Source organism: Homo sapiens, chromosome 3 (assembly GCF_000001405.40).
Source record: "Homo sapiens chromosome 3, GRCh38.p14 Primary Assembly".
NCBI classification, from domain to species: domain Eukaryota; kingdom Metazoa; phylum Chordata; class Mammalia; order Primates; family Hominidae; genus Homo; species Homo sapiens.
The window spans coordinates 56,832,722-56,846,791 of record NC_000003.12 but is presented as its reverse complement, the minus strand read 5'-3'; the positions used below and the strand labels follow the sequence as shown (position 1 = coordinate 56,846,791).

At 39.5% G+C, this 14,070-nt stretch overlaps 1 protein-coding gene across 16 annotated transcripts in view, besides 1 other annotated feature; it reads left to right on the top strand.

Moving 5' to 3' along the window:
- Positions 1-14,070, top strand: part of ARHGEF3 (Rho guanine nucleotide exchange factor 3) — a 351,849-nt gene that overhangs the window by 232,477 nt on the left and 105,302 nt on the right. The gene's annotated exons all lie outside the window — the stretch shown is intronic.
- Positions 6,677-6,971: a silencer, noted in NCBI's record as "tiled region #9253; K562 Repressive non-DNase unmatched - State 24:Quies". NCBI's record gives its function as "represses a minimal TATA promoter and a strong SV40 promoter by Sharpr-MPRA in K562 cells {active_cell/tissue: K562}" and the evidence as "EXISTENCE:reporter gene assay evidence [ECO:0000049][PMID:27701403]".

Below are 14,070 nucleotides of genomic sequence, written 5' to 3'. Positions count from 1 at the left end.
GGGAAAGGAAGAGGACACAAGACCCTGGGATCACTAGAGACAAATTTGGTCCATGGCTGGGTCTGAGGAGGGGTAATTATATGGGAAAAAAGTTGTGAAGTTAGTCCATACAAGTCCTGTTCTAAAATACTACCATATAATTTTGGGTGTACAGGAGCCCATTCAAAGCAGCAAATACAGTGAATCAAACAGCTTACACATACTTTGAGCCCATTCCCAGCAATTTATACAAATGTGCCCCTTTTGCCCAGACTTCACTATGCAATATATCCATGTGACAAAACAGCACTTGTACCCACTACATCTATTAAAAAAAGTTTTTTTATCACCCAGTCCTGGAAGTTCTCTAGTCATTTTCACCGTCTCTAATGATTAATTCCTGTTACTTGTCGTTGCACTTGAAGCCCACTTTCAGGATCTACACCTCTCCCTGAGCTATAAGACCATGATCTGGAGTTCCAATTCAATACCTATTTCCTCCTGCCCCATTTTCTAATTTCTACATTTCTGGCCAACCATGTTTGTGTTCTTGTGCTCCTTTGAGGCATGAAGTAGAGTAAAAAATATTAAAGACATATATAAAGCTCCCTTAGGTTGGAGTGAAGAAGGAATTGTTATGGACCCAAATGGGAATTTTAGAACTGTTAAGGAGATTACATGTTAAACATTACTCTATAACAAACAGATTAATGACCTTGGAAAGTCTGGGTTCATTTTCAATAGCATGGGTTACCAGACTCAGGGACACAAGGGTAACACAGAGATCCTTAAAGCAGCGAGAGAGCGAGTGATGCTGCATTTTTGTTTCATTATCACAGTGGAAGTCTAGGGACAGCTGCTACAGAGTAAACACTATGCTGGGCACTGGGGAAATTAAAATGAATGAGATGCAGTCTTTGCCACATGCAAGCACAACTTCGGTGTGGTCTGTTTGTGTTCTACCAGACACCTTTATTCATTTCTTTATTCATTCAACAAACCTGGCTCTGGGGCCTTCCTACAGGGTTTGGCTTTGAGTCTCCAGGCAGTGAAGGTTTTGGAAGAAGGATATGATCTGATTGGAATGGTATTTTAATAAGGTCAAGGACTGAAGGAATGGCTTAGTGAAGTTAGGGCCTGCTGACTAGTAAATCAATTAGGAAGTCAGGGAAATCTCCCAGGGAGATAATTTGCTCATGAAGGAACATCATATATTAAAACGTATACTGTTCTCTCTCACTGTGAAAGGAAAGGGAAAATCAACAAAGAAACACAAAATATAGCACTGGTTTTTAGAATAATGCTGTAGGACTCATTTCAATTCAGGTATCACCAAATAGACCATGTGGCTCAATTCTAATATAGATTTTCAGTCCCTCATTGCTGGTGAGACCAGGCTGTATATGATTTCTCCCCTGTGTTCAGATGGAGACATGGAAGAAAATGTGATATATTAGTTATCTGTAACAATATTACTACAAACTTAGTCTTAAAACAACACACATTTATTATGGTGCAATTTTTGTGGGTCAGGAGTTCAACATTGCTTAGCTAGGCCTTCTACTACTTCAGGGTCTGACAAGGCTGCAATCAAGGCGTTGGCCAGGGTTATGGTCTCATCTGAGGTTTGACTGGGGAAGGGTCTGTTTCCAAACTTACATGACTGTTGGCAGCATTCAGCTTCTTGTGGTTGAAGGACTGAGGGCTTCAGTTTCTTGTTATTGTTGGCTGGAGGCCACCTTCAGCTCCAGGAGGCCACTTTCAGCCCTTTGCCACATGGGCCTTTCAACATGGCCTCTTGCTTCTTTGATTCCAGCAATGGAAAGAGTTGCCTCAAAATATGAGTACATAACCCAATCTTATGTAATGTAATCATAATACATAATCATGTGCATCCTGTCATCTTGCCATGTTCTATATGGCTAGAAGAAAATCAGTATGCCAGCCTATTCTGGCCCTACAGGGATGTGAACACCAGGAGGCAGGGATCATGGGGGACATCTTAAGAGGCCATCTGCTATGTGTAATGTTTAGTGACTTGGTGAAGGCTCCCAGAAAACATTGGGGTTGTCACAAAACCACCCTGTGTTTTTGTACACACATGTAATCCTTGTTCCATGAAATCCTGGGAAATTGATCCAGAGTCTTCCCACCCTGCTAATCCTTCAGGCTGATTGTTTTTAGCCCTGCTATAAGGTTGAAGCAAAACCTGTTTAATTACCTGTTGGCTGGAATCCTGGTGGCAGCAGTAGTTGGTATTGGTGTTATTTTCCTTTTCCTTTTAATTTTGTTTTATTTTATTAAATATTATCTTCTTTACCTGAAAGATTTTCTATCTTTTATTTGTTTCTAAATAGTCATTTGAGGAAAATTAACAGAGGCAGACAAGATTCCAGACAATATGCTTAGTTTTCAGGTAGCAATTTCAAGCATTCTGTTTATTAGTTTAACAATAAGTCATAAGAAAAGAAGCTTAACAGTTCTTAGAAAAGCTAATCCTGGCACCATGATGGATTTACCTTGAGCATATCTTTCTGTCTCAATTTCCCTACCTATAAATCCACAGGGTGCAGTATCCATACTAACAAGATATTCCAAAGGGAAATAATAATTTTTGAGCATAAACTGAAAATCCTACATAATAGAAACATATTTGTATTCTGCACTGTCGAGCAGAACTTTGCCACGCAGCTTTAAATAATTTGTCATGCACTAAAGTGCCAGGTACTCTGCTTGTTCTTAATTTCCTTTTCTTACAGAATCTTGCCAGTGACCTGGAAAGGTAGATATTATTCTCTTCATTTTGCAATTGATGAGTCTGAGATTCATGGATGTTTAATGAGTCCAAGGCCATACAGTTGTGAGTCACAATTCTGCCTGATTTTATGTCCTGTTAACCTGCCGTTGCACTGGGAATTACAGAACTAATGCCAATCCCTCCCTCAAATTGCCATTCATGTATTACTTTTCCTGAAATTAGTGGCAGTTTTCTAGAAATCAGAAGGGGCAGAAAGTAAAGGGAATCTTCTTCTTATATATCATTGCTCTCTGAGAAAAAGTATTATAGAAAAGCCAAAGGTCAAATTGCATGATATTTTCACTTTACAATATAAAAAACATCTACACTATGGAATACATGGAATATAACGCAGCATTAAGAAAAAGAAAAGGAAAGAAAGATGGTGAAAGATGAAAAGATTGCCAAGGCATACTGTTAGATTTCTTTTTTCAAGTTACAGAAATTTGGGCTGGGCATGGTGGCTCACACCTGTGATCCTAGCACTTTGGGAGGCCAAGGCAGGTAGATCACTTGAGTCCAGGAGTTTGAGACCAGCCTGGGCCACATGGTGAAACCCTTTCTCTATAAAAAAAAAAAAATTACAAAAGTCATCCAGGCATGGTGGCACATACCTGTAGTCCCAGCTACCTGGGAGCTGAGGCAGGGGGATCGTTTGAGCCCAGGATGCAGAGGTTGCAGTGAGCCAAGATCATGCCCTTGTACTCTAGCCTGGGAGACAGAGTGAGACCCTGTCTTAGAAAAATAAAAAATAAAAATGGAGTTACAGAAATTTAAGTATGATATCATTTGTGTGCTAAGCTAAGCCACCACAGAACAATTCTGCTTATTTTTCAAAGATACATCCATGCATAGAAAGCAGTCTGAAAGGATAACACCCTAAATTCATTAAATTGATTCTGAGTTAAAACCCTAAACTGGTTCTCTCTGAGGAGGGGGCCTGGTGGCTCCAGTGGCAGTCTAACATTTAATATTTAAAGTTTTTACAAGGAGAAATAATTCATGTGTTACTTGTATAACTAGAAGTTTGAGGGTTTTTTTAAGTAAAATATTGAACACAAAGTCAGCCAACTGGTGGCATGACTAGCCACGGTCAAAAGTTGGAGCTATTTGTAAGTCATTTTGACAATAAAGAAAAGGATGAACTAAAAATACTATGTCACCAAGATGGCTTTTTCCTCCAGAGATTTCTGTGTCAGCTGGGGCTTTGATGTCTGGCCATTATCTGAATGGGGCGCCTGCTCAGGGATCAGCTATGACCACCCTAGGGAGAGTTCCGTGATGAGCCATCTTGGGGACAGAAGGATGAGTGAGCAGCTCTGCTTCCTTCCAGACATCTCTGCTCTTCACCATTTTGTCTTAGCTTAGGTAATCTTCCAGGGCTACATGATTGTAGGGGGCAGGGGAAAAGATGAGGGAGTTAAATGATGGAGAAGAGAAGGGTACCAGAAGAAACTCTTCTTTGAAGTTAAAAGCATTGGTTTCTAGACATCTGCTAGGGATCATTTAATATCCAGGCTGATTAATTCAGCTGGGAAGCAGTCTATAGAAGCTAGTATGGATTCCATTCCTTGGTGAGTCAAATCACTTATTTCTTAGAAGAAATGGCATTAGAGCTTAACTGTTTTTCTAGCTCTTGCAAAGCATGTAATTGATGCAAAATTAGCTAGGTCCCAAGCAATAAGATCCAAGAAAGATCTGCTAGCTGGACAATTTTTTCTAATCCACATTAAAATAAAGACATATATAACTGTTAAAATAAAAATGTATTTATACACATGCATCTTACAATCCCACATTTGACTGGTGATGCATGGGCCATGCTTGGGGAAACACTGCAAGAGATGTGATTAGCCTGGGCGTTGGGGAGGAACTGAGTTCAAATTTTGCCTCCATAACTAACTTGGTAACCGAGAACTTAACCTTCTTAGCCTTCATTTTCTCATCTCAGGGTGGACTTACTAGTAGTTCCTACTTCATATGGCATTTTTCAGAATTACTTAAGCTAGTGTCTATAAAGGATAATGTGTAGTACCTACAAAATGTTAGTAAAAGAAAAAAAGATCTTTTGCAAATAATAAAACAAATGCCAAGACCTTGATTAAATGTAACTTCTGCAAAAGATGCCATCTTTTGAGGATGGTTCAGTGTTCAACTTCTTGTTTTGGGAATTTGTATGTGTATGTGGGTTTTGGCGCTCCACACACACACTTTTTGGTCCTCTTTTTATTAATACTTTGACTGTAATTCATGGAATTACCTATTTCAAATCAATCTGATGGCTGAAAAAGGTAAAGCATGGAATCACAGTGATTACATAGCTACTCTGAAATGCATAGAATCACACCCAAGAATTTTTCTAATTAAATGCTCTTTGTGGGGGTGAGGTCTCTGAGTATGAAACTATGTAACTAAAGACTTAGAAACATCAGACTGTGGGTGCTTATGTTTAAACTTAAATTTTTAAAATTTCTGGTTAACTGTGTGCATAGAAAAGTGAAGTTTATTCAGCTACTCAGCTTGTAAGTGACTGCCGTGATGGAGAAAGTGGGAGTGTGAGCTGTGCAGAGCTGATGGCAACTAACTGGGTAAGTTATGTCTAAATGGAGGACATGGAAGATCTCATGTAAGACTAACAACCAGGAGCATGCTATAGCTGAAAGGGGGATTTGGTTGAGGAAGCCCACCCAATAAGAAGCCAGCAAGTTCTTCTCACCACCTCTTTGAAATTTCTGCCTGACTAGCTGGTGGTTGACTCAAGCTTTTCCTGCCATTGCTACTTTAGGGAAAGATCCCAGCCAAGGTTAATTTTTCATCTCACTCTTGCATTGAGATGTCACAGTGGGCAAATCTAGGGGTCTCAATAATTCGTCATTCCGTTTTGACCTGAACTTGATCAGTATAGATGAGGAGCCAGGAGTATTTATCTACTGGGGGCAAAGAGAAGGGGTTTTCCGTGTTTTTGCATCCCAAAATGCTAATTTAAATATTCTTAGGATCAGGTGACATATTCTGGTGCAAACAGCTTTCTTTGGTACTGCTTAACTGTGTGTATGTTAATAACTTTGCTGTTTTAATCTTACAGTTTTTAAAAAAACCTTTTCTATCTCAGTAAATCTTTCTAACCATGAAATTTAATAAAGCAGCATTCTAGAAATTCTTACCAAAGAAAATGAAAAATGTTAGTCTTCATCTCATGAAGGAAATGAAATTGTTTTTTTAATTTTTGAACAAATAGTATTAATGTTATAATATGTTAGCAGGTGAATTTCCAAATGCACTCCTGGTTGCTCTTTCAGCCATTCAGGAATAAGATTTGTCTTCTCAGTTTTAAAATTAGGTTCAGAGAAGAGGTCCCCAGAAACATGAGTCAGGGCAGAGATGAGCTTCCATCTTGGTGTCTCAAACAAGGTTTTGTTGATTGTTTATGGTGCTTACTCACGGCACTGCGCTGAGTCCCTCAGCAAACACCCACTTCTGTGAGAGACGGTCTGTAAACAATGAACTGTGGCTCAGGGAATGCATGTTGTAATAGAGATATTTTAAAAAGCAGACATTTTATGGGAGCATACTTGGAGCCTCAACCTTCTTACCTGTAGAGTGTGGAAACTGGACACATCTCTGTTCCCTTTCCAGCTTTGAAACTCTGGGATCCTGCAGAAATGCAGACCACTTCTTGTCCTAGAACATTTGTTTTGCAGGATCATTGAATAGTAAATACACCATTGGATGCTGTAAATATTTATGGTCCCCTAAATGGGGGTGTTTTTTCCTGTTGTTGACTGTTGTTGGCTGGCTCTCCTAGGCACTGCATGCCTTTTTCACTGAGTCTAGCAGAGAAAGCTTGTACCTCTCATTTGAAGAATGTCTGGGATGGTCTTAAAAAGCAAGTTATTTGTCTCAAAGTGCTAAAAATATCCACCTAAGAAGAAGGTGGGCTGCCAGAGCTCCGTCTGATCCTCCATTTCCTCTTAGTAACTTGAAGGAAAATGCAGAGGATGACACACGGCCAAGATGAGATAATGCCTGGGATCTGGGGGTTGAAGTCATTCCCAGGAGGATTCCTGTCAGATGAAACGTGTCCGGGCTCGAGAGCACCAGGAGCCTTCGGGATTGTACCACTTTCTTTCCCAGATTTTGCAGACCTAGGGACCAGACCCTCCCTTCCTCAGGTGGGTAAAAGGTGGTAATGTGATCCTGTGTTGTGAGCTGTCAGGTTCTAAAGGAGGGTAGCTTTCTAGGGTCAAAGCATCCTTGCAATGATGATTTGATGCAACCAGACCAAATCAGTGAAAGCTCAGCTGCCAGACCCCTTGAGATTTGGGGATAGGGCGCAGAGTGTAGACAATTTGATTAGACAACCAAGACCTCATTCTTCTTTGTTTCGTTGTTTTATATTTTTAATAAGCTTTCATTTTGGAATAATTTTAGATTTACAGAAAAGTTGCAAAGATAACACAGAGAGTTCTTATGTACCTTTCCCAGCTTCCCCTGATGTTAACATCTTACATAACACAGTGTATCTGTCAAAATCAGGAAAGTAACATTGGTTTAGTACTGCTAAGGAAATGACAGACTTTATTTGGACTTCACCACACAGTCTTCTTTAAAAACCAAAATGTTGTTCTGTGAGTTACCTGGAGTGTAAAATAAAATAAAATGAAAATAAAAAAATTCAAAAAAACCCAAAACGTTAAAAAAACTAATGTCACACACACATCACAAATACTCATATACTAATACACAAGAATATATATATATAATCCAGCCTTTAAAATGTGTGTATGCAAATGCACAAATGTATCTGGTTATGTAAATGGATATTATGTTCTCTTGCCTTTTGAGACAGGTTATACAAAAAAAAATTTTTTTTTTTTGAGACAAGGTCTCACTCCATCACCCTGGATGGAATGCAGTGGCACAATCACAGCTCACTGCTGCCTTGAACTCCCAGGCTCAAGTGATCTTCCCACCTCAGCCTCCTGAGTAGCTGGGACTACAGGTGTGTACCACCACGCCCAGTAAATTTTTATTTTTTTTATTTTTGTAGAGATAGGGGGGTCTCACTATGTTGCCTAGGCTGGTCTTGAACTCCTGGGCTCAAATGATCCTCCCACCTTGTTCTCCCAAAGTGCTGGGATTAGAGGCATGAGCCACTGCACCCGGCCAGGTTATACAAATTATCGTTTGCCTTTCTTAAATGACACACAATGACCATCTGTCATTGTACTTTGCTATAGTGTGTTGATCTCTTGGTATTTTAGGGCTGTTTGGTCCCGGGAATTTGTGCTTTTTGAGTTCTCAGGTCAGCTCGTCATAGTATTTCTAGCTCCCCTCTCATTACTAAGCTGTCAGCTGTTGCTTCTCTCTGCTATCAGCGTTTTTGTCTGTGCAGACCTCCTTCCCACATCTAAACTGCAGCTGCTAACTGTTAAGATGATATAACTATGTACTGGGGCTTCTTAGAATTATGGAAAGAAAAGTACCTGTAAATGAGGCACATGGAGAACATTACTGTGTGTATTTTATGACTTTTTAAAAAGCCTTTTTATTATCTTATTTCCCAGTTTTGGATCAGATTTTGAGGTAAAACCAATGAAAAGTGAAATAATAATTTAAGTGATAGAATCGTATTTTAACAGCTAAAAATATGGGAGTGAATCTCTGTCTTATGTAGAGATTCGTACAAAAAACATTCACCCCAGTATTATGTTCTTCCATGCATTTAAATTATCATTTAATTTGGTAAACATTGATCTATGTAAAATTTTTAATTATTCCCCCCCACAGTATTTTTTACATACTTTACAAAACTGTTTATTGTAGAAAAGTTGGGAAATATAGGTAAGTTGTTTTTTATACCATTATTGTTAAAGGCTACATAATGTTACATGTTATGGCTGTATTTAGCCCATGGAGTATGATATTTACATTGTTTTTATTTTTAAAAAATAGGTATTTTCCTGTGATAAACATTCTTACTTTTGCACACAGTTTTCTTCTGCACACATCCAAGAGGCTGTATTCCCAGCAGTGGAATTATTGAGTCAAAAATTATCACTTTGATGGTTCTTCATGGCTACTTCCACATTTAGCAGTGTGTTAGAAATATGTAAGTTTCTGGCTGCTGGAGGAAGCTTGTAATCCTGCCGTTCTAGCATGTTGTTCAGGTGGCTGTGTGCACATGATGGCACAGGAAACAGCCCTGACCTGACCAGAATCGCTGGTCATGTATTCATGGTAGAGTGAACTCAAACAGTCAGAACTAAGCATTTTCAGGTAACTTATTGACTCCTGGGAGGAAACCGTTTGTCAGGACCTGCCGCAGTTTATTGTGACCTCATCTGCTGAAGGCATGGCCTTGGAGTGGAGGGTTTACAAGGAGGCAAGCTTCCACAGGCCCTGCTCCATACAACATTTTTTGCCCTCCAGCTTTTAGTTGCTTCATGAAATGGTCTATTTCTTGAATAATCGTCCTCTTCAATTCCCATTGGTAATTATTGGACCATCTTTTATCCTCATGTTTTCTGCCTGATGGACTGTCAGGCAGAGCTTCTTGGCAAGTTTTCTAGCCAATTAAAGATGGAAGACTAATTCCATTGAGCAGTCAATTCCAGTTAGCTCAGCTGGTGGGATTGTGGCGTTAATGCAGGACCACAAGACAAGGGTTTGATCCTACATGAACTCGGTCAACCGTGCTCTTTTCAGAGTATGGTAGCAGAGTAGAAAAACGTCTGGACTCTTTGCTTGCTCCCTCCCCTTCCTTTTAAGTAAAGTCTCTTTTATTTAGACTCTTTTCTGGGTTATAGGAGTCACCATTTTTTTAATCAGCACCAATCTTTGCAAAAGCTAAAAATACATTTTCTGAACCTCCTGACTCTGATCCTGACTCTTCACTTTCTTTAGGAAACCATTTGATTATCAAATAAAGTGTACTTTCTGCAGGTTCTGCATCCTTGAAAGCATGAATTCATGCCGCATATTTGGAGAATGGGTCTTCTGGAAGAGGGTGAAATAAAGATTACGTAATGCAGACTGATTCTTTCACATCATCCTTGGCCTTTACACAGTGACTTTTTGTTTTGTTTTGAGACAGGGTCTCACTCTGTTACCCAGGCTGGAGTGCAGTGGCACAATCACGGCTCACTGCAGCCTCGACCTCTCAGGCTCAGGTGATACTCCCACCTCAGCCTCCTAGGTAGCTGAGACTACAGGCATGCACCACCATACCCAGCTAATTTTTGTATTTTTTTGTAGAGATGGGGTTTTGCCATATTGCCTAAGCTAGTGTCAAATTCCTGGGCTCAAACGATCCTCCTACCTCAGCCTCCCAAAGTGCTGGGACTACAGGCGTAAGCTACTGCGCCTGGCCCACAGTGACTTTTTGTATCTTGTCTGATTGTTGTATAAAATCTTTAGAACTGGTTTGTATCATTCAGAATAAGGCAAAACGAGAAAAAAATCCAGGTAGGCAGGGAATGGGTTGAAAACGCTTTGGCATCCCAAACATGATTGTAGGGACTCTGTGGGTGTGTGAGTGAATGAGTCACTGAAAAAATACATTCTGAATGAGTGAATGAGGCAACTAATTAATCTCATGGTGAGATTTGTAATGTTTCAGAACTAATTTTTAATTTAAATTGTTTCCCCAACTATATCCCATTTCCCAAAGAATAATAATAGATTGAAGTTAGTAGAGCATTTCTGTGCACAAAGAAAGTATGAAGAAATCCTGAAACACTTATGCTAATGCTGGCTTTCTTCCCTAAAGGAAAGAGATGAACTTTATTCATTAGGAGTTTTTCATGAACTATTGATCGAAAATACACATCTGTTTTTCAGTCTGTTTTTTCCAAAAATTGGTAACTCAGCCTCATTTGGAGCTATCTCTGAAGGATAAGGAAAGACCAGGAGTGATAAGGCAGCTTGCATTAATCAGATGTGAACGGGATACCTTGGCCTGCTGAATTGTGTCACGAAGGTCATTTTTACCACAGAAATACTCATGCTAAACACCAACAGTTTTTCTAAGAGACATGATTTTTCTCCCTTTTGGGAAACTGAGGAAACAAAGACTTAAGTCATTTCTTGACTCTCTGAGAAATCCTTTTTCCACGGGAAGTCTGTGTGGAGGTGCATGATTCAATTTTTGTATTCTTTTTTCCCCAGAGGTCAGGGGTGAACCATGGGTGACTCAGCCACAGGGCCCTTTATTTATCAGGCCCATTTTAGCTATCCGGCCTGGGGTGTGTTGGACTTTATGGGTCATGTTCTGTGTCGTATGAAAAGGGGGAGAGAGGTGGTGCATTTTAAGTCTTTCTGCTAAAGCTAAATAGTTACTCTGAGGAGGCCATTCAGTCCTTCCACGTGGCTTAGACCTTTGGAAGTGGAGATAGCAATTAATTAAACAATTAAATCATACTCTGAATTAATGCTGTTATTTAGCATTAATTCAGCATATTATTTAGCATGTCTTATAATTATTTAATTTTAATGCGTGAAATAGGGGTGTACACGTGCTTTTAAAAAGCCTAATGTTAGGCTGGGCATGGTGGCTCACACCTGTAATCCCAGCACTTTGGGAGGCCGAGGCGGGTGGATCACCTGAAGTCAGGAGTTCGAGACCAGCTTGGCCAACATGGTGAAACCCCATCTCTACTAAAAATACAAAAATTAGCCGGGCATGGTGGTACGTGCCTGTAATCCCAGCTACTCAGGAGGCTGAGGCAGGAAAATCGCTTGAACCCAGGAGACAGAGGTTGCAGTGAGCCGAGATCACACCATTGCACTCCAGCCTGGGGGACAAGAGCAAGACTTCATCTCAAAAAACCAACAAAACAAAACAAAACAAAAAAAGCCTAATGTTAAAATTATGAACACACAAAACAAGATAATTTAGAGAATTTATATTTAGAATACTTTTAGGTAATAATTCATCACAATTCATCTTTAAGTAAAAAGTACCAGAATGCATTTATTTTGACATGTTTCAAACTTTTACTTCTTTATTATACTAGCAGTATGTGGATGTTGTAGAAAATTATAAAATAAAGGTAAATTAAAGAAAGACTATTAAATCATCATTTTGCTACTCTTTATATTTTGGAGTATAGCCCTGCCAAATGTATGTTTACATGGACACACAAATAGGATCACATGATGCACAGATACTGCTTTGTGTCTTGCTTGTCTTATTTTGGTACACATCAGCATTGTTCCTGTTCATATTTATACCTGGATATTGTTATTCTTTTTTTTTTTTTTTTTTTGTAAGTCAGAGTCTCACTCTGTCACCCAGGCTGGAGTGCAATGGCACAATCTCAGCTCACCGCTTCCCGGGTTCAAGCAGCTCTCCTGCCTCAGGAGAAGCTGGGATTACAGGCATGTGCCACCACACCTGGCTAATTTTCATATTTTTAGTAGAGACAGGGTTTCACAAAGTTTGATGGTCTCAAACTCCCGATCTCAGGTGATCCACCCACCTCGGCCTCCCAAAGTGCTGGGATTATAGGTGTGAGCCATCAGGCCCGACCACGACCTTATTATTCTGAATACATACATAGTATCAGATTGTTTAACTGGGATATAGCGTTATTAAATTAACCCACCGTTATTAGATATATAGTATGCTTCTAGTTTTTCTTACTATGAACCTCATCTTTTACAATAATGATACCTGCTTTCTACTTCATACCTAGTGCCAATGTGAAACATTTTCCATGTAGTAGCTCTCTTTTTATTTAATTAAGGTAAAATTCACGTAACATTAACTATTTTAATGTGTATAGCTCTGGGGCATTTAATACATTCACAGGCCAGGCGTGGTGGCTTACGCTTGTAATCCGAGAATTTTGGGAGGCTGAGGCGGGCAGACCACAAGGTCAGGAGTTCGGAACCAGCCTGGCCAATATGGTGAAACCCCGTCTCTACTAAAAAATACAAAAATTAGCCGGGTGTGGTGGCACACACCTGTAGTCTCAGCTACTCAGGAGACTGAGGCAGGAGAATCACTTAAACCTGGGAGGTGGAGGCTGCAGTGAGCCGAGATCACACCATTGCACTCCAACCTGGGTGACAAGAGTAAAAATTGGGGGGGGAAAACAAAGAATATTGGAATATTGAAAATCCAGAAAAATTGAACAGTTATCCAGCTTGGTGAATGTGTGAGTGTGATATGCACTGGGGGCTGAGTCTCCTGAAGTGTGATCCAAATTTGCATTTGCTTTTCCAAACATATGTTAAAAAAGAAAGTGAACATGTGGTGAGATTGTAAATGTGCATATTCTGTGATCCTGCCTTATAAATCCAAGTTTGAGCCTTAGAGAACCAATCTCAGGAATGCAGAAGGAGGCGTGTATAGGGAAGTGCGACACATTTTGTAACAGTGAAGAAAGGAAAATCTGTAAATATCCATAAATAAGAGAACAGATAAATAAAATGTGGTGTAGGGAAGGCTGGATACAGTTCAGCTTTGAATTAGACCTATATACAACAACATGGAGGGAGCTCAAAAACAATGCTAAGTGGAGAAAATATTTATATTTACACTTAGAAAACAATACTGCACACTATTTGTAGATGCCTGGAATAAATATAGAGTTAAAAAGTGATAGTCTCCAAAGAATATATACAAATGGCCAATAAAAACATGAAAAGATGCTCAGTTGCAGTTGGCTTTAGGGAAATACAAATCAAAACCACAATTATCCCTCATACCCACTAGGATGGCTATTTTTAAAAAGAGGAGGGAAATAAAAAAGAAGAAGTGTTGGTGAGGATGTGGAGAAATTGAAACCCTTATACATTGCTGGTGGGAATTTAAATGGTGCAGCTGTTGTGGAGAAGAGTTTGGCAGTACCTCAAAAAGTTAAATATAGTGTTACCATATGACACAACTATTCCACTCATAGGTATATACCCAAAAGAACTGAAAACAGGTACTCAAACAGGTATTTGCACATGGATGTTCATAGCAGCATTATTCCATCAATTGAGGAATGGATAAACAAAATAGTATATCCAAACAAGGGAATATTCTTCAACCATAAAAAGGAATGAATACTGATGCATGCTACAACATGGATGAACCTTAGACACGCTATGCCAAGCAAAATAAGTGAGAAACAAAAGGTCATATGTTATTTGATTCCATTTGTATGAAATGTCCAGGCATTTCATATGCAAATGCAAAGGCAAGTGCATAGAGACAGAAAGTAGATTCGTGGTTGTCAGGCACTGAGGGGAGGGGAGATTTGGGAGATACAGGGTTTCTTTTTGGATAACTGAGATGTTCT